General features: G+C 48.3%; 1 protein-coding gene and 1 pseudogene across 5 annotated transcripts in view; both read right to left on the bottom strand.

Annotated features, from left to right (window-relative positions):
- COA8 (cytochrome c oxidase assembly factor 8) overlaps positions 1-21,308 on the bottom strand; it is a 27,940-nt gene extending 6,632 nt beyond the window's left edge. The window contains exons 1-4 of one of the 5 annotated variants that reach the window (NR_126431.2): positions 21,144-21,308; positions 20,889-21,053; positions 12,448-12,645; positions 10,098-10,161 (exon numbers count right to left, since the gene is read on the bottom strand). Coding sequence is in view for 3 of the 5 variants with exons in the window: in NM_001302653.2 (NP_001289582.2) it covers positions 2,612-2,699; positions 10,098-10,161; positions 12,448-12,645; positions 21,144-21,266 (473 nt within the window). In the remaining 2 variants the exon portion in view is untranslated. Of the gene's footprint in view, positions 1-2,611; positions 2,700-9,535; positions 9,879-10,097; positions 10,162-12,447; positions 12,646-20,888; positions 21,054-21,143 lie in introns of those variants that run through there. The other 4 variants (NM_001302653.2, NM_001302654.2, NM_001370595.2 and 1 more) reach the window with 4 other exon arrangements.
- Positions 16,723-16,863, bottom strand: RNU4-68P (RNA, U4 small nuclear 68, pseudogene; annotated as a pseudogene).

Here is a 21,308-nt window from a genome sequence, read left to right as displayed (position 1 = left end):
TCCATAAAAATCCCTAAACCATGGGGTTCAGAGAGCATCCGGGCTACTGAACATATTGAGGTGCTGGGAGGCCAGGCACGGTGGCTCACGCCTGTTATCCCAGTGCTTTGTGGGGCCGAGGGAGGGTTGCTTGAGCCCAGGAGGCTGACGCTGCAGTGAGCCATGATCATGCCACTGCACTCAGCCTGGGCGACAGAGTGAGACCTGCTCAAAAAAACAAACAAACAAACAAAAGGTGCTGGGAGGATGGCATGCCCAGAGAGGGCGCAGGGGCTCCGCATGCCCCCATACCTTGCCATGTGCATCTCTGCTATCTGGCTGTCCCTGAGTTGTATCCTTAATAATAAACCGCTAAGAGTAAGTAAAACACCTTTCTGAATGTTGTGATCCATTCTAGCAAATTATCAATCCTGTGGAGGGGGTCATAGTCTGATTTATAGCCTGTCAGGCAGAGGGACAAGTGGCCCAGGACTGGCAACCGGCAAAGGATGTAAACAGGAATTTATCCAAAGAGAAAGACTGCCTCAGTGGAGGCAATCTTGTGGGACTGGGTCTTTAACCTGTGGCATCAGACATGAACTCCAAGTAGACAGTGTCAGAATTGAACTGAATTGCTGGACACCTATAGCTGGTGTTGAGGAGTTGGAGAAGTGGAATTAGAGAAGACACCAGGTATTTGGTCTCAGGAGGAAAAAAGACTCTTTTTTTTTTTTTTTTTTTTTTTTTGAGATCGAGTCTTGCTCTGTTGCCCAGGCTGGAGTGCAATGGCACAATCTCGGCTCACTGCAACCTCCACCTCCCGGGTTCCAGCAAATTCTCCTGCTTCAGCCTCCCGAGTAGCTGGGATTACAGGCGCCCGCCACCACACCCAGCTAATTTTTTGTATTTTTAGTAGAGATCGGGTTTCACCATGTTGGCCAGGCTGGTCATGAACTCCTGACCTCAAGTGATCCGCCCACCTTGGCCTCCCAAAGAGCTGGGATTACAGGCGTGAGCCACCGCGCCAGGCCAAAAAGACTCTTAACTCAGCAGTTCACCTGTAGGTATACACAGGATTATTCACAGTAGCATAATTCATAATAGCCAAAGGGTAGAAATAATCCAAATGTTCATCAACTAGTAAGTGGATAAACAAAACATGGTATATCCGTATAGAATATTATACAGCCATTAAAAAAATCTCCAAAGTGCTAATACATGAGACAATATAAATAAATCTTGAAAACATTATGAACCTAAGTGAAAAAAAGGCAGACACAAAAGACCACATATTGTATGATTCCATTTATCTGGAAATGTTCAGAATAGGCAAATCCAGAGATATAAAGTGGGCTGCCGGGGTTAGGTGAGGCAGGAATTGAGACTGGCTAATGGGTGTGGGGTTTCTTCTTGAGGTGATGAAAATGTTCAGAATTAGTGATGTAGTTGTACAATCTTGTGACTACTAAAAGCCATGGAATTATACAGTTTAAAAGGGTGAATTTAGGCAGGGCACGACAAGGAGACTCCATCTCAAAAAAAAAAAAAAAAGGCAGGGTGAATTTTATGGTATGTGAATCGTATCTAAAGGTCACAGCATAATTCATTTTCTTCACAAGTGATTACGACCCAGGCAGGTATGTCTACCATACACAACGAGTGACGGGTTTCATCACGCACACTCCTGCAGGTTCTGCGGAGGAACTGGGAGCCACCGCTACACGGGAATGAAATGTGTCCTAACTTGAATGCATCCTAGGTTAACAGCCTGCCCATTCCTGGGACAGGTCCCGGCCTGACTACTCCAGCCCCGCGTGCTGGTGGGGCTGTTTACACATGAGGACCAGTGCCGCTTGCCTCTGTGGCACTCCCAGGGCGGTGGCCACGCTCAGGCTCACCCACACGCAAGAGAGGTAGGAAGGCCACAGGGCAGGACCCACAGCCCGTTACAGGGAGTGGCAGGGCTGCCCTGAAGTAGGGTCCCCAAAGCAGCCCAGGGGACAGTCTCATGCCCCCCAGCTATGGCTCAGGGACCAGGGAATGGAACCACATCCAGGGTGGCGGGTGCAGGAGGCGCACTCTGACTTAGCAGCCCCAGTCCCCGAACAGGAAGTGAGGTCTCTTGTAAGAGCGCTGGGCTCTGGCTCAGGGGCTCCTGCATCTCCAGCACTTCCCATGAGGAGGCGCGGAGGCCACGCTCAGCTCCTACCCAGGGTGCTCGCTAGCCTCCCCGGCAGACTGCCTTTCCCTGAAGGTGCCACCTTCAGCAGAGCGCATACCACCCTGTGGCACAGCTAATGCTGATGCTCCGGCCCAAGGGGGAGTGGGCAAAGTGGCCAAAGGCATGATTCCACCCTCCCTCCACAGAGCAGGGAGGGTGTCTGGCAACCCCTTTATTCCCACAGACAGAAACAAACACTCAGACGGCACAGCACAAGCACGGCTGTCCCCTAGCCACACGGCAGACAGGACAGGAGCCACGTGTCCTCTGGCCGCCCGGGCAGGTCTAGTGCCACCGGAATGAAGAACAGTTTAACTCTACAGCCCCCTGCTCTGCTTTTCCCTTCAGTTCTGCCATTTCCTACGTCATCTGGGGCTACTTCATTTTCTTCTGTGCCTCGGTTTACTCAACTGTGTAAGGGAGATGGCGGCAGCACAGCTGTCCCCTCCATCCATGGTTTTTCTTTCCATGGTTTCAGTTACCCGAGGTAAAGTGGGGTCTGAAAATATTAAATGGAAAATTCCAGAAATGAACAAGTCATAAGTTTTGAACTGCATGCTGTTCTGAGTAGCGTGATGAAACCTCCCAAGGTCCTACTCCGACCAGCCCAGGAGGCGACTCCTCCCTCTGTCCAGCACCTCCACAGTGTAGACGCGCCCCACTCGTTAGTTACTCAGCAGCCGTCTCGGTGATCAGATCCACTGTCGTCGTACAGCAGTGCTTGTGTCTGAGTAACCCTTATTTACTTGGTAATGGTTGCAAAATACAAGATTAGAGATGCTGGCATATTGTTACACTTGTTCTATTTTATTAGTTATCATTGCTAGTCTCTCATGCCTAATTTATAAACTTTATCATAGCTAAAAATGAAAAGTTGTCCCTTGGTATCGATAGGAGGTTGGTTCCAGGACTCCTACAGATACCAACATTTCAGGATGCTCAAATCCTTTATATAAAATGGTGTAACAGGCTGGGCGCGGTGGCTCACGCCTGTAATCCCAGGACTTTGGGAGGCCAAGACGGGCGGATCACCTGAGGTTGGGAGTTCCAGAACAGCCTGACCAAAATGGAGAAACTCCATCCCTACTAAAAATACAAAAAAAATTAGCCGGGCGTGGTGGCACATGCCTATAATGCCAGCTACTCAGGAGGCTGAGGCAGGAGAATTCCTTGAACCAAGGAGGCAGAGGTTGCAGTGAGCTGAGATTGCGCCACTGCACTCCAGCCTGGGCAACAAGAATGAAACTCCGTCTCAAAAAAAAAAAAAAAACAACAGGCCAAGGATAGTGGCTCACGCCTGTAATCCCAGCACTTTGGGAGGCTGAGGTGGGTGGATCTGAGGTGAAGAGATTGAGACCATCCTGGCCAACATGGGAGACCTCATCTCTACTAAAAATACAAAAAAAATTAGCTTGGTGTGGTAGCACACACCTGTAGTCCCAGCTACTCAGGAGGCTGAGGCAGGAGGATTGCTTGAACCCGGGAGGTGGAGGTTGCAGTGAGCCAAGATAGGGCCACTGCACTCCAGCCTGGCGACAGAGTGAGACTCCGCTTCAAAAAACAAAAAAAACCACAAAAAACAAAAAACAAAAATTAGCTGGGTATGGTGGCAGATGCCTGTAGTCCTCACTATTTGGGAGGCTGAGGCAGGAGAATTGCTTGAACCCAGAGGCGGAAGCTGCAGTGAGCAGAGACTGCACCACTGCACTCCAGCCTGGGTGACAGATTGATACTCCATCTCGAAAAATAAATAAAATAAAATATAATGTTGTAATAAACCTAGGCAACATAGAAAAAAATTCTACAAAAAAATTTTTTTTTAAATTAGCGAGGCATGGTGGCATGTGCCTGTAGTCCCAGCAACTTGGGAGGCTGAGGCAGGAGGATGGCTTGAGCCTGGGAGGTTGAAGCTCCAGGGAGCCACGATCGCGCCACTGCACTCCAGCCTGAGTGGCAGAGCAAGGCTTTGTCTCCAAATATTTGCAAATAACCTACTCGCATCCTCCCATATGCTTTAAGTCATCCCTGGATTACTTATGATACCTAATACAATGTAAATGCTGTATGAACAGTTGTCATGCTGTACTTTTTTTTTTTTTTTTTTTGAGACAGAGTCTTGCTTTGTTGCCCAGGCTAGAGTGCAGTGGCATGATCTCGGCTCACTGCAGCCTCCATCTCCCAGGTTCAGATGATTCTCCTGCCTCAGCCTCCCAAGTAGCTGGGATTACAGGCATACGCCACCACGTCCAGCTAAGTTTTGTGTCTTTAGTATAGACGGGATTTCACATTGTTGGCCAGGCTGGTCTCGAACTCCTGACCTCAGGTGATCTGCCCGCCTCAGCCTCCCAAAGTGCTAGGATTACAGGCGTGAGCCACCGTGCCCGGCCGTTATGCTGTACTTCTAAATTTTTCTATTTTTGGCCGGGCGCGGTGGCTCATGCCTATAATCCCAGAACTTTGGGAGGCCGAGGTGGGTGGATCATCTGAGGTCAGGAGTTTGAGACCAGCCTGGCCAACATGGTGAAACCCTGCCTCTACTAAAAATACAAAAATTAGTCAGGTGTGGTGGTGTGTACCTGTAGTCCCAGCTACTCAGAAGGCTGAGGCAGGAGAATCGCTTGAACCAGGAGGCAGAGTTTGCAGTGAGCCGAGATCGTGCCACTGCACTCCAGCCTGGGTGACAGAGTGAGACTCCATCTAAAAAGAAAAAATTGTATTTTTTATTTTCAATATTTTATTGTTTATATGTTTATTGTTTTCAATATTTTTCAATCTGTGGTTGGTTGAACTGAGGACATAGGGGAGGGACAACCGTGTAGGGAAAAACCTAGTGTACATACAGGGCTTGGTACTAGCCTCAGTCTTAGGCATTCACTGGGGGTCTTGGAATGTATCCCTCGGATAAAGAGGGCCTACTCTGTCTCATGTGTTACTGTTAATACACATATAGGGCGCTCAAAACTGTGTCCGTACTCAGAGGTTGAGGCAGGAAGACTGCTTGAGGCCAGCCTGGTCAACATAGCGAGACCTCATCTGGGATGGACAGAGGCCAAGACTGTCCCCACCTGGCTGTGTGGCCCCAGAGCTGTGACTTACCTCCATCTCAGTTTCTTCCTCTCTAGTGTGTGACAGCAACCGCGCACCTCATGAAGCTACACTCCGTCAGTGTGGCAGGAGGGGCGCGGCTGGCACAGAAGTGCTTGCTTGTGGTCACTGCTGTTAGGGTGACCACGGGAGTATCCCAAAGGCAGGGGTACCAGCTGCTGCCACCTGACTCCATTGACATGGGCGTCCCTCAGGACAGGTCTCCTTGCATTTGGCTCAAACACCCCCAGGCCAAGGCTCAACAAGCAGCAGAAGCACTGTAATATCTGCTAAGCAGGGCACCATCCACACTGCAGCACTGCAGCTTAATACCGAACCTACCGCTAAGTTCAGGGAAAGAGGCAAAACACCGAGTTCACCACACTTACTGAAAACCGAGTGGGTGTTTCATAAATACTTAGGAGACTGACTTAAACTAAACCCATCTTGATGGTACTCTTCCTGCCACTGCATAAACACTCTGGGAATGAAATACATTAGAGGAATTCTCCCACAATACTGCCTGCCTTACAAATGAGATTTAATTTTGAGACTGGCAGAACTGAAATCACAGTATTCTGCTGCTTGCACTTCAAATTCAATCACTCATTTTTCTGCACTGCTGCAGAATATTCCGGTGAAGGCCAGTAAGTGCGTAGGCCACCACAGCCTTATCCGTTCTTCTAGTACTGGGCATTTCCATTCTTCCCATTCTTCTGCAATGAAAGATTGTGCTGCAAGGAACACACAGCTGAACTCTTCCCATGTTTCCCCACATGAATTTTTTTTTTGGAGACAGTCTGGCTCTGTCACTCAGGCTGGAGTGCAGTGACACAATCTCGGCTCACTGCAGCCTCCACCCCCTGGGCTCAAGTGATCCTCCCACCTCAGCCTCCCGAGTAGTTGGGACTACAGACACATACTGCCAAACTTGGCTTTTTTTTTTTTTTTTTTTTTTTGAGATGGAGTTTCACTCTTGCTGCCCAGGCTGGAGTGCAATGGTGCAATCTCGGTTCAGTGCAACTTCCGCCTCCGGGGTTCAAGCGATTCTTCTGCCTCAGCCTCCTGAGTAGCTGGGATTACAGGCATGCATCACCACGACTGGCTAATTTTGTATTTTTAGTAGAGATGGAGTTTCTTCATGTTGGTCAGGCTGGTCTCAAACTCCTGACCTCAGGTGATCCGCCTGCCTCAGCCTCCCAAAGTGCTGGGATTACAGGCATGAGCCACCGCACCCGGCCTTAATTATTTTTATTTTTAAATTTTTTGTAGACAAAGGGTTTTACCATGTTGCCCAGGCTGGTCTCAAACTCCTGGGCTCAAGTGATCCACCCACCTCAGCCTCACAAAGTGGTGGGATTACAGGTATGAGCCACCAAGCCTGGCTCTCACATGAATTCTTAGAGATGATTCATGAGCATCATTTGCCTGCTTCCTGGGGTATATGTAAATATGTGTAGCTAAATTCTTCTGGAAAAGGGGCTGAGGATTTTCTGCTGCCATCCACCTTTGATGTAACTCCGCCAGCACTGAGTCTCAAGACTGAAAACATTCCCCCATGAACTGAGTAAGCATGAAATGATGACTTCTTGTTGCATATGCACTGTAGGCTGGGCGCGGTGGCTCATGCCTGTAATCCCACCACTTTGGGAGACTGAGATGAGAAGATCACTTGAGGTCAGGAGTTTGAGACCAGCCTGGTCAACATGGTGAAACTCCGTCTACGAAACACACACACACACACAAATTAGCCAGGTGTGGGGGCGGGTGCCTATAATCCCAGCTACTTGGAAGGCTGAGACAGGAGAATTGCTTGAACCCGGAGGTGGAGACTGCAGTGAGCCGAGATCACGCCACTGCACTCCAGCCTGGTGACAGAGTGAGACTCCATCTCAAAAAAATAAACAAATATGCCTTGTAAAATTTAGAGTTTGAACAATTTTTTCTTCTTGTAGTCACGTTATTTGTCTATAAATGTGTGTTATTTCTGAGTATTTGTGGCAGCTTTTCCTGAAGTCCAAATTGCCCATGTTGTTTTGCTGCCAGCACTTGCCCTTCCTCACATTTCCGGGACACTGATCCCTGCGCCTACCCAGCCCTCTGATCCTTTGCCAGCAGGCCTGCTCTTTTGCCTGCTTCCTCCCGTCTCCATGGCAGCAGCCAGGCTCTCTGCACAAGCCCCACCTCTGCCTCAGCTAATCCGGGCACCTCCCAACCGGGCTGGAGCCAGCCTGAGGAAAGGCAGCCTCCTCAGCTGACTGCTTCTTTGAACTTAGGAGGGATAAACAAGGAGGCAGAGAAAGCCAGTTTATAGCATGAGAAAGGTAAGGCAGTGGCCTAGGAGAAAAGTTTAAACATGAGGAAGAAATTGCTCTGGTCCTAGCGTCTGAGCACAGGCCATGACTGGGGCCAGCTCCACCCGCCTCTGGGTACTGAGCCACCTCCACATATGCTCAGCAAACTCTCCTGTCCAGAAACCTGGATCAAAAGGAGTCTTAACACAGACGTTTTCAGCTTTTATGTTCTTGAATATCTCTGTCTTCACCCTCAAGCTCAGGACGGTATCATTCCTCCAGATAATGGTGAGTCTGTTATATCCTATTAGATGCTCTACAGCTGCGAACTATGTATCTAACTCTTTAATCCATAAACAATCGACTTTCTTTTTTTATTTTTTTGAGACAGAGTCTCGCTCTGTCACCCAGGCTGGAGTGCAGTGGCGCAATCTCGGCTCACCGCAACCTCCGCCTCCTGGGTTCAAGTGATTCTCCTGCCTCAGTCTCCTGAGTAGCTGGGATTACAGGCAAGTGCCACCACGACCAGCTAATTTTTGTATTTTTAGTAGAGACGGGGTTTCACCATGTTGATCAGGCTGGTCTCGAACTCCTGACCTTGTGATTCCCCTGCCTCAGCCTCCCAAAGTGCTGGGATTACAGGCGTGAACCACCGCGCCCGGCCTGACTTTTAATAATTAACTTTTTGGCCAGGCACAGTGGCTCACGCCTGTAATCCCAGCACTTTGGGAGGATGAGGTGAGTGGACTGCTTGAGCTCAGGAGTTTGAGACCAGCCTGGGCAACACGGCAAAACTCCGTCTCTACAAAAAACACAAAAATTAGGCAGGTGTGGTGCTGGCGTGCACCTGCAGTCCTAGCTACTTGGGAGGCTGAAGTGGGAGGATCACTTGAGCCCAGGAGGTCAAGGCTGCAGTAAGCCTAGATGGTGCCACTGCATTCCAGCCTGGGAGACAGAGTGAGACCCTGACTCAAGAAACAAAAAAAGAAATTAATAATAATTAACATTTTGACCCACTGGAATACATTTGTATTGCAGAGAGAACGAATCTAAATTTGTTCTTTTGGGCCAAAGCTTTCTCCAATATCACGTATTCAACAAAGCTCCCCTTCTCTTGGCTCTTGGGGACCTACATCCTCACGCATTGGTGCAACCGTGTACAAGACATGTGCTCTGGCCCAAGGTGACACGCCTGCTGCCCCACTCCCACTGCAGGCACCGTGGCCTGCTCACTTTCAACAGCTGCCAGAGCAGGCAGCTCCCTGTATGTTTCCCTTCCTTAACACATCCTGTCCTATTACCAAATTCAGTTTCAAACCTAATTTAAGGCCAGCCTTTCAATACTCAGCAAAGCCATCAATAGGATTCTGGGACCTTAGTAAGAATCAAAACAACTTCTCCCATCTGTTAGGAGAGTGGCTGTCTCCAAAGCCCTTCCAAGCTATGAGCCGACCTAGTCCTACCTGATATGATGACAGACCTATGGACACGGCACATGTGGTGTGCACACAAGCACACACACATGTACACACGTGCACGTACGCACACACATGCGTACACACGCACGCATACACGGCCAGGTCAGCATGGAATGCGCTGACAGCCATGGGGCGCGGCGAGGCCCAGTAAGGCTTTGCAATCCGACTCCCGACGTGAGAATCCAGGCCACGCCACATTCTCACTGTGCAATTCTGGTGAAGCCTCAGGTTGCTCATCTATAAAATGGTAAAGATAACAGTATCTACTTCATTGGGTCACTGTGGGAAATGCAACAGGTGATATATGCACAGGACTTGCACAGTGTCCAGCACAGGACCCAAAACTGTGAGTGCTCATTCTCATGCTTACTGCTGGATGCAGCATCTGCTCCAGCTCTGCCCCACAAGACCCCACCTCTCCAGGGCCCGCAAGACCCCACCTCTCCAGCAGCCAGCAAATAGCAACAGAGGTCCTGGCATGGGGGTGACTCAAGCTCCTGGCCCTTTATTCCAAATGAATCAGGTGAGGCAAAGGATTAGTAGGAATGGCACTTTAGCCCAATGACAGACTTGGCTTTTGGGGTCGATGATTTTGGATTTTCTATCAGAACAACTTTTTGGCAGCAGACATCTGTTTAACGAACAGCATGAGATGTTATTCAGGCCTAACACTGACACCAGGAGAAAATAAGGAGAGGCTATTTTGAGCACTGAACTGAGATCAGGAATCAGAAGAAAAGCTGCTTTGGAGGGAGAAGCTGCAAAGGCTGAGACCTCAGTACGAAAGTCAAAGGTCAGAGGTTGGTCATCCATCATAACCACCTAAAATCCGGAGAGAAAGGAGGGAGCTGAGATTGGAGAGCCATGCCTGGGAACTGGGTGTGCAAGAGAACTTGGACAGGGGTGTGCCGAGCACTGCCCCAAAGCAGGCCAAGGACCGCCCTGAACTTCCCCACCTCTCTCACCGCCCTTCCTTTCCCTTTTCATGGACTAGCTCAAACGCAAAGAAAGCAAAAAAAACAATCAAACAAACACACTAACCTGATTCAGTTCTCAGGCCCAGGCCTTTAGTTTTTAGTCTTGAGTGAATAAATTCTTCTTTTTCCTTAAAAAAAAAAAAAAAAAAAAAAAAAGGCTCTCAGAACTCCTTTCTCTGTCTTTCCATTTTTCTTTGGCTAGAGCACAGCTCACGGTGTACTGGAGAAGTTTAGATGTGGATTTTCTGAGAAGCTAGTGACCCATCTCAAAGCTCGTTTAAAACCCTCTGAATGTGGTTAAAAGTTTTGTGCTTGAAACAGGATTTGAGAAGATGTTCAATAAACTTTGGGAGACGCTGTTTGTTTATAAATCCACAGAATAGGTCAGGCACAGTGGCTCACACCCATAATGCCAGCACTTTGGGAGGACGAGGTGGGTGGATCACCTGAGGTCAGGAGTTCCAGACCAGCCTGGCCAACATGGAGAAACCCCGTCTCTACTAAAAATACAAAAATTAGCCCAATGTGATGGTGGGCACCTGTAATCCCACCTACTTAGGAGGCTGAGGCGGGAGAACTGCTTGAACCCAGGAGGCGGAGGTTGCAGTGAGCCGAGATCACGCCACTGCACTCCAGCCTGGACAACAGAGTGAGACTCTGTCTCAAAACAAAAACAACAACAACAAAAAAAACCCTCCACAGAATATGATAAATATACCCCACCAGACATAGCCCACTCAAATGGAAAGTCAAAGTTTAAATGTTGCCGGGCACGATGGCTCATGCCTGTAATCCCAGCACTTTGGGAGGCCAAGGCAGGCGAATCACCTGAAGGTCAGGGGTTCAAGACCAGCCTGGCCAATGTGGTGAAACCCCATCTCTTCTAAACATACAAAAATTAGCCGGGTGTGGTGGCGGGCGCCTGTAATCCCAGCTACTTGGGAGGCTGAGGCAGGAGAATCGCTTGAACCAGGGAGGTGGAGGTTGCAGTGAGCTGAGATCATGTCACTGCACTCCAGCCTGGGCAACAGGAGTGAAACTCCATCTCAGAAGAAAAAAAAAAAAGTTAAATGTTTTTCTTCTGGTTTAGACTATTTATACTTCTTTCTTACACAGTTTATTTATAAGTATCCTGTTAAGAATTTTGAATTCTCTGCTGGGCATGGTGGCTTATGCTTGTAATCCCAACACTTTGGGAGGCCGAGGTGGGCGGATCACGAGGTCAGGAGATCAAGACCATCCTGGCCAACAGAGTGAAATCCCATCTCCACTAAAAGTACAAAAATTAGCTGGGCACGGAGGTGTGTGCCTGTAATCCCAGCTACTCGGGAGGGTGAGGCAAGAGAATCACCTGAACCTGGGAGGTGGAGGGTGCAGTAAGCTGAGATCGCACCACTGCACTCCAGCTTGGTGACAGAGCGAGACTCCGTCTCAAAAAAGAAAAAAATTTTTTTTTTTTTGAATTCTCAGGAAGAATGACAACACATCACAAAAACGGGTTTCTTTTTGAGGGTCTCACTCCTGTCACCCAGACTGGAGTGCAATGGCGCGCTCTCGGCTCATTGCAACCTCCGCCTCCTGGGTTCAAGCAATTCTTGTGCCTCAGCCTCCCAAGTCATGGGGATCACAGGCATATGCCACCACACCTGGCTCATTTTTATATTTTTAGTAGAGATAAGGTTTCGCTACGTTGGCCAGGCTGCTCTCAAACTCCTGGCTTCAAGTGATCCACCCCTCTCAGCCTCCCAAAGTGCTGGGATTGCAGAGCCATCATGCCCCACCTAAAAAAACCGGTATTCTCATAAAGATAAACACACACACCTATGTGTGTAAAACATGTACTTCTAGTTCTGGCTCTGCTGCTCACACATTGCATCCTTCAAAGTCTCAAGATCTGTGGTTCTACGAATGACCATTTCTTATATACAGTTACATATTAGTTTTTAAAACTATATGCATATATGTACATACAGTGCGGGGGATGGACTGAGACCCAGTACTACCACGTAACAAATAGCAAAGCAATATACTAAACACCTAGCACCCTCAAGTGGCCAACTGTGTTATTTCTCATTCTGATCTAAAACTTTTTTTTCTTTTTTTTTTTTTGAGACGAGTCTGGCTCTGTCACCCAGGCTGGAGTGCAGTGGCGCAATCTCCGCTCACTGCAAGCTCTGCCTCCCGGGTTCACGCCATTCTCCTGCCTCAGCCTCCCGAGTAGCTGGAACTACAGGCGCCCGCCACCACGCCGGGCTAATTTTTTGTATTTTTAGTAGAGACAGGGTTTCACCGTGTTAGCCAGGATGGTCTCGATCTCCTGACCTCGTGATCTGCCCACCTCGGCATCCCGAAGTGCTGGGATTACAGGCGTGAGCCACCGCACCCTTCCGTTCTGATCTAAAACTTAAACTTACCTTACTAAAAGTCAAATTCTGGTTTGCCCAGAACTGTTGATTCCATTCTTGTGTTTCTTGTCTTAATTTTCTAAGCTTTTGTTCCAATGGAGATTCATTTTCAGGTATGTAAAAGTGAACAGGTCGAAGGTTTGAATATTTATCTGGGGGTCCTATCCAATCATGGCAAGACTTTCTTGGAGGGCAGAATCTTGAGACCTTTAACAAAGTAAATTGGATTAACATATGACAAAATGAATCTCTAGTATTATAAAATGTACAATCTGGATTTATTTATTTACTTAGAGACGGAGTCTCGCTCTGTTGCCAGACTGGAGTGTAGTGGCGTGATCTCAGCCAAAGTGCTGGGATTACAAGTAGGAGCCACCACACAGGGCCTAGTTTCTGGTTTAAATAATAACAGCCCTTTCCCGAAACTCAACCACCTTTGCTAAGCTTTCTTTTTTTTTTTTGAGACAGAGTCTCACTCTGTCGCTCAGGCTGGAGGGCAGTGGCGAGATCTCGGCTCACTGCAAGCTCCGCCTCCCAGGTTCACGCCATTCTCCTGCCTCAGCCTCCCAAGTAGCTGGGACTACAGGCGCCCATCACCACGCCCGGCTAATTTTTTTGTATTTTTTAGTGGAGATGGGGTTTCACCCTGTTAGCCAGGATGGAGCTAAGCTTTCTTAAGCTAATGAGAGACCCTACCAGGCTAGGAGGAGGTGAGGAGTCTGAATTCTGGTAAGGTGCCAGCCATCATTCCAGAGGTCACAAGATCTGCAACTTCTCCAATTACTCCTGCATCTCTATTGCAGAACCTAAGATTGGCTTTTTGAGATATCTTTTCAGGTTTTTTGCAAGTCCAACGTGATGGCTCCTCCTGGACCCGCCCAGAAGCCACTCGGCATGCAGGAGGATGAGTCCCACACCCCTGTGATTGCACCCAGACCAATCGGCAGCAAGCACCCATTGCCTAGCCACCTCCACCCCTTCCTCCAAACTATTTTTGAAAAAATCTAGCCCCCAGATGCGAGGAGAGACTGATTTGAGTAATAACTCTTCCATGTAGCATGGCTGGCCTCACATCAATTAAACTCTTTCTTTTTTTTGAGATGGAGTCTCGCTCTATCGCCCAGGCTAGAGTGCAGTGGTGTGATCTTGGCTCACTGCAACCTCCGCCTCCCGGGTTCAAGCGATTCTCCTGCCTCAGCCTCCTGAGTAGCTGGGATTATAGGCATATGCCACCACGCCCGGCTAATTTTTGCATTTTTAGTAGAGATGGGGTTTCACCATGTTGACCAGGCTGATCTTGAACTCCTGACCTCAGGTGATCTGCCTGCCTCAGCCTCCCAAAGTGCTGGGATTACAGGCGTGAGCCACCGTGCCTGGCCCTAAACTCTTTCTTTACTGCAATGCCATGGTCTCCATGAACTGGTTTTGTTTGTGCAATGGGCAAGAAGAACTGTCAGGGAGTTATAGTGGGGGGACCCTGCTATTCAAGACCTGAAACTATACTGCTCATCGTCAGGGTTAAAATACACTGATTTGATGCTGGATCAATTTAGGAATCCTTTTTAGAAAGTAAAGGCAGGATTGCAATACAGACCTTCAACATTTTACCCATCAGTCTAAAAACTATATACAATCACCAAATATCCCATTAAAAAAATAAAACCTACATTTCTAGCCAGGTGCGGTGGCTCACGCCTGTAATCCCAGCACTTTGGGAGGCTGAGGTGGGTGGATCACCTAAGGTCGGGAGTTCGAGACCAGCCTGACCAACATGGTGAAACCCCATCTCTACTAAAAATACAAAAATTAGCCATGCGTGGTGGCCGGCACCTGTAGTCCCAGCTATATGAGAGGCTGAGCCAGGAGAATTGCTTGAACCTGGGAGGCAGAGGTTGCAGTGAGCCGAGATCGCACCACTGCATTCCAGCCTGGGCGACAGAGCGAGACTCCGTCTCAAAAAAAAACAAACAAACAAAAAACCAAAACCTAGATTTCTACAAATGTTGACTTTTATTATTTTTTTCCTTATCATACATTAAAGGACTCAGAAAATGTTCATGGGCTTCTCCCCCAAGTCTTTGCATCTGTGATATTTAGCTGTTGGTAGAAACTAAGGTGAGTCCCACCAAAGGGACGGCACCACGGTCCACCCCCCTAGACTGTGGCCCAGGACGGCGACTCCTTCCCTCCTCCGAGCTGACCCGGGTGTCTGCAGCTCAGTGGGTTTCGCGCTAACCGTGCATGACCACTGTCCAGGGCTGCACCCGCTCTTTTCTGCTCACAGGCTCCCCATCAGGAAATGTTAAAGGAGCCACCTAATAATTAGCTGCTTTTTCTAGCTGCCCACATATCACAAAGCAAGCTCAGAGAGGTGTCAAGTGTGTTCGGCTACTTTTCCATATTTATCTACCAGTTATCACTCACATAAACTGCTTTACGGATAAAGCTGGTGTACCGATATTTTCAAATCATTGTTTGCCATTATAATGTGAGAGATGTTATCTTCCTTTGTTCTTCCCTATAACCACATGTTTCTGCCTTTATTCACGGAGGAGCTACTATTTAAAAGCGAGGACAAGCAGCTTGGGGGAGGAAAATGTCCTTTGGTAAGAGGAAGAGCCCTTTGTAGTGCGAATAATTACCATAATTGCTAGTTTCCACAGTACAAGCCTATGATTCATGGTGTCCCATTGGCTATGCTGGGGACAGAAGGCTCTTCCATCCGGCCCTCATGTCTGCGGGGAGGGCACGCTAGACCCTCACAGTCTCCTGAGAAGCAGCCTCAGTTCTGCCCTTGTCACAGAGAGGCACATGTGCATTCCTACTGGTCAGGCCGAATCTGCATCTTTGGGTCTGGGAGGGGAGTTAACCTTCCGGTTCTTGTGAAAATCTTTTTTCAGCCGGGCGCGGTGGCTCACGCCTGTCATCCCAGCACTTTGGGAAGCCGAAGCAGGTGGATCATTTGAGGTCAGGAGTTCGAGACCAGCCTGGCCAACATGGTGAAACCCCGCCTCTACTTAAAATACCAAAAAATAAGCTGGGCGTGGTGGTGTGCACCTGTAATCCCAGCTACTTGGGAGGCTGAGGCACAAGAATTGCTTGAACCTGGGAGGCGGAGGTTGCAGTGAACCAAGATCGTGTCACTGCACTCCAACCTGGGTGACAGAGTGAGACCCTGTCACTATATATATATATATATATATATATACACACACACATATATATATACGTATACATATATATATATATACACACACACGTATATATGTGTGTATATGTGTACATGTGTGTGTATATGTGTATGTGTGTGTATATATATGTATACATGTGTGTATATATATGTGTGTATATATGTGTGTGTGTATGTATGTATGTATGTGTGTGTATATATATATATACATATCTCCTTTCTTCTTAACTGTAAATTGGCAGGCTGGAGAGCCCTACACCAGGCTTCTCCATGCTGGCTCTGCAGGCCAGGCCTGCCTCTCCAGCCCCCTCTGCTTTTACTAAGCTCCTGAGTACTCCACCAAGGAGCACTCCCACCCCAGCATCTCTCCCTCCAGAAGCCAAGATTCGGAAGGGGAGACACTGAGACGTTTCTCCTGCACCCTATTCCTGGAAGTGCCCGTACATGACACAAAGCTACCATGGGGAAACCACCAGGGAATAATGAAGAGAAAAATGTTAGCAAGCTCTTAGCGTTCTTGCTTCCTGTTCTAACTCTCAGTTCTATAAAGGCTTTGAGTTCCCATCTGAGAAGGAGTCAGGAACTTCATATTTACTGAGGGTTAGGGTCCCCAGCCCCCTATTCTACATGGATGCTAGACAAATCCGCAAACCCGATCCAGCAATATAAAAGAAGGATAATCCACCAGAAGGGCAAACACTAGAAAGTCAATGAAAACAGTCTCCTAATTTCAGGAATGCCAACGAGATGGGAGAGCTATCCAGGCTGGAACACTTTCACCCAACGCTGGAGTGACCACAGCAGGAAGCCACCCCTGCTGTATACATACGTTAATTATTTTTATTATCTTTAAGGCCCTAGTCAACCATCTCTTTCCCACCACCAACAGACACAAGGCCTGCACCTCAGTATTGTCTAAAGATGATTAGACAATTTGTCTAAAGATGATTTGTGGGCTGGGCTTGGTGGTTTACACTTGTAATCCCAGCACCTTGGGAAGCCGAGGTAGGTGGACTGCTTGAGCTCAGGAGTTTGAGGCCAGCCTGGGCAACAAAGTGAGACCCCATCTCTATAAAAAAAATTTTTGTTTTCAGTCTCTGTAGAGACTGTCAAAAATTGCCAGTGCTGACTATATTGCAAGTCATCACGGCAGGGTATTGGGAAAAGTTTTCAATTATCAATAATCACACCTCAGATAAATCTCATTGGCTACAATACTGCCGCTGTGCAAAGCTACAAAAAAAAATTTTTTTTTTTTTTTTTTTTTGAGAAAGAGTCTCGCATTGTTGCCCAGGCTGGAGTGCAGTGGCGCGATCTTGGCTCACTGCAGCCTCCGCCTACCAGGTTCAAGCAATTCTCCTGCCTCAGCCTCCCGAGTAGCTGGGATTACAGGCATGCGCCACCACGCCCGGCTAATTTTTGTATTTTCAGTAGAGACGGTGTTTCACCACGTTGGCCAGGCTGGTCTTGAATTCCTGACCTCAGATGATCCACCTGCCTCGGCCTTCCAACGTGCTGAGATTACAGGCACGAGCCACCGCGCCCTGCCAAAAAAATTTTAAAAATCAGCCAGGTGCGGTGGCACATGCCTGTAGCCCCAGCTACTAAAGAGGCTGAGGCAGGAAGATTACTTGAGCCAGTGAGGTTGAGGCTGTGGTGAGCTATGTTTGTGCCACTGCACTCCAGCCTGGGCAACAGAGCAAGACCCTATGTCCAAAAAAGGGAAAAATATGGTTATTTGTGGACTTGTTCCAACCCTCCTCCTCTCAGAAGTTAGGTGCCCAACAGGCAGGCCCAGGGTGGTGCTCCCTTGCATCCTCAGGAGACCCTGCCTGGAGCTGCAAACAATAAACTTCTGATAGATTCCAAAGATGGACATGGTGGATTCAGCCATTCTCCATAAGCATCAACCTGCCTGCCCCTGCACCACCATGCAAAGGCCAAGCACTGCTCTAGGCACCAGGGAGGCATGTGTTAGCATGCAGAGCTCCTGCCTGGAGAGCCATCTGTGCATGTGTGAAAAGAGGCACACACATTCATTTCTGTATCTCTGGCACCTCATGAAGAACCTGTGCAGGAAATGCCAACCACCCTGAGACAAATGTTTCCATTGGTGTTTTAAGCACCACAATACAGGACACGGTTTTCAAAAATACATGAGACTTTATCAGATGTCTTGTTTAAATCAATATGCAATGGCTCACTCTTTTTTTTCTTTTTGAGAATGAGTCTTGGTCCATCGCCCAGGCTGGAGTGCAATGGCGCGATCTCGGCTCACTGCAACCTCTGCCTCCTGGGTTCAAGCGATTCTCCCGCCTCAGCCTCCCAACTAGCTGGGATTACAGGTACCACCATCATGCCCGGCTAATTTTTGTATTTTTGTAGAGACAGGATTTCACCATGTTGGCCGGGCTGGTCTTGAACTCCTGACCTCAGGTGATCTGCCTGCCTCAGTCTCCCAAAGTGCTGGCAAGGTGTGAGCCACCATGCCTGGCCGGATCACTCTTATTTACCAGTTTAGTAACTCTAACCAGAAAGAAGATGGGGTTAAACTCTAACCAAAAAGAAGATGGGGTTAAAATGGCTTGTTCTTATGAAAACTCAGGTTCAAATGACTTGTAGGTTCTACCAGTCACAGAAAAATTCAAACCTTAGTAAACAATCCACGGAAACAGGAAAAGAAGGCATACCCTACAGCTCATTTTTGAAGCTAAAAGTGACTTTGGGCCAGGCACAGTGGCTCATACCTGTAATCCCAGCACTTTGGGAGGCTGAGGTGAGCAGATCACCTGAGGTCAGGAGTTCAAGACCACCCTGGCCAACATGGTGAAACCCGTCTCTACAAAAAATACAAAAATTAGCCGGGCATGGTGGTAGGCACCTGTAATCCCAGCTACTCAGGAGGCTGAGGCAGGAGAATTGCTTGAACCCGGGCGGTGGAGGTTGCAGTGAGCTGAGATCACGCCACTGCACTCCAGCCTGGGTGACAGAGCAAGACTCCATCTCAAAAAAAAAAAAAAATTAAAAAAAAAGGTGGGGAGGTGATGGAGGCAGAACCTATGGATTAAAAAGAACTAAAAGGGAGTATCTCTGAACCTATTCTGGTTCAGGAACTTCCGGATTAAAGAAAAAAAAAGAACTAAAAGAGTCAGACTAATTCTTACGTGCAAACAAGTTTAGGAACCAATGATGCAAACTACATAGGTAAGACATAAGCAGGCATGAAGTGGCTAGGGAACAGAATTTAAAAGTCTTAATTTTTTTTTCTTTACCAAAAGCAGTTATATTTCTGAAAAGCTGAGTTTTAAAGATGGATTTGGAAGGAAGAATGGTGCCTGACTCTTAAGTTCTATAATATTTTTCAATTAAAAGCTGGTGCTGGCTGGGCATGGTGGCTCACACTTATAATCTCAGCACTTTGGGAGGCCAAGGCGGGTGGATCACCTGAAGTCAGGAGTTCGAGACCTGCCTGGCCAGCATAGTGAAACCCCATCTCTACTAAAAAAAGAAAAAAAAATTAACCAGGCGTGGCAGCATGCGCCTGTGATCCCAGCTATACTCAGGAGGCTGCGGCAGGAGAATTGCTTGAACCCAGTAGGCAAAGGTTGCAGTGAGCCGAGACTGCGCCATTGCACTCCAGCCTGGGCAACAGAGCAAAAACTCCATCTCGAAAAAAGAAAAAACGAACAAGGCAGAGAGGTCTCTCATCTTGAGAACAGACCCATGGTAAGATTTATTTTACTTTAACAAGAAGTCTAAGGCTGAGAGTGGTGGCTCACACTTGTAATCCTAGCACTTTGGGAGGCCCAGGCAGGCGCATCACTTGAGGTCAGGAGTTTGAAACCAGCCTGGCCAACAGGTGAAACCCTGTCTCTACTAAAAATACAAAAAAATTAGCCGGGCATGGTGGTGGGCCCCTGTAGTCCCAGCTACTCGGAAGGCTGAGGCACGAGAATCGCTTGAGCCCGGGAGGCAGAGGTTGCAGTGAGCTGAGATCACGCCACTGTACTCCCACCTGGGCGACAGAGGGAGACTCCAACTCAAAAAAAAAAAAAAAAAAAAAAAAAAGAAGTGTATATGACAATAGAGAAATCCTTATTTGGGTGCTGTTGTTTCTTTCCAGCACAAGTTCACAAAATAAGCTAGGGAAAATCCCCCCCGCCCGGGAAATGTCTTGGTTGATTTCCCGTTTGCTCTCTTAGAGCATTTTCAGACACCTGCTCTATCTTTCTGCCCAAAGATAGAGATGCTGGGTGGGTTTCTATGTTCTAGGGATAGAAGGCAAGGACTTGGTCACTGTAACACAGAACTGAGCTAGCCACTTGGGTGTCTGGTTGGCAAGTTGCCCTGGTAACTCCTTGTTTAAATTGTAAACTAGATAGACCTTCAAAGCTACAATTATGAAAGTGTACTAACAGCCACAGCCCAACAGAAATGAAAATGTACAAGCAAGTACATTTGCAATTTTTAATTAGCTTTTTTTTTTTTGAGATGAAGTCTCCCTCTGTCGCCAGGCTGGAGTGCAGTGGCGCGATCTCGACTCACAGCAACCTCCGTCTCCCGGGTTCAAGCGATTTTCCTGCCTCATCCTCCCGAGTAGCTGGGTCTACAGGCGCGCGCCACTATGCCCAGCTAATTTCTGTATTTTTAGCAGAGACGTTTCACCATGTTGGGCAGGATGGTCTCACCTCTTGATTTCGTGATCCGCTTGCCTCGGCCTCCCAAAGTGCTGGGATTACAAGCGTGAGCCACGGAGCCCGTCCAATTTTTAATTAACACTTTTTTAATACTTCTTTAATTATTGTTTAAACCAAGTTTTCCAGCCTCCTTCATTAGCCTGTTTGGTATTTGCATGCTTTGCTTGAATATTTTATCTCCAGCCCATTCCACACCGTTAGTCAACATTTTCATCTGACAGACGGAATCAAGGCCTAGGCCTCCCTTAAACAAAACATCCCTCCCAAAAGTACCACTTATAAAAATTGCTTGCCACAGACATTCTTGCTACAGACATTCTTTGCGGATCTTTGGCCAGTAACATGCATATACCCACACATAGTTTGCAAATAACAACTATTCAACGTGAAGTGCTACAAAAGTACGATGATAAAGTGCTCGCCGCTTGAAGAAAAGCACTAATAATTGTAACAAAGCCAAAACACACACACACACAACGAAAAAAAACGCACGGTAAGCCAAGAGCTCTTTAAAAATAAAAAATAATCATTCTCGGGAACAAATAAGGTAGGTACAAACTTGCCAGGTGACTCTGTTACGCTTAAAGGTTCTGGCTGTCAACAGTCCCCGGCGTGGTGGCGGCGGCACCCTCAGTCCCATCCGACTGAGGGCGTTGATGCGGGAGCCTCGGGGCTGCGGGACTGTTCGGGATAGGACGCGAGAGCACCTGGACAAAGGCCTGAGGCGGCTGTGCAGAACAGGGAGTGGCCCCGAGGCCCGGGTTTGTCTTCCCTTCCGGTCACCCCTCCCGGCCCAATGTCCCCAGGCCCCTGCTTACCCCGCTGGGCGCCGTATCCCTGCGCTCGGCGCCGCGCTCCGGAGCGAGTTGACAGCCGCGGCAGGCGAAGGCGCGGCAGAGAGGGGGGAGAAAGGTCTTCTTCCCCGCCCGCAAGACCACCATGGCCCCACGCCCCCTGGCTCCCGCGGCGCACGGCAGCATTGC

This window comes from Homo sapiens, chromosome 14 (assembly GCF_000001405.40).
Source record: "Homo sapiens chromosome 14, GRCh38.p14 Primary Assembly".
Classification (NCBI taxonomy): Eukaryota; Metazoa; Chordata; class Mammalia; order Primates; family Hominidae; genus Homo; species Homo sapiens.
Note: the sequence above shows the minus strand (reverse complement) of the source record. Positions and strands in the feature narration are given on the sequence as shown.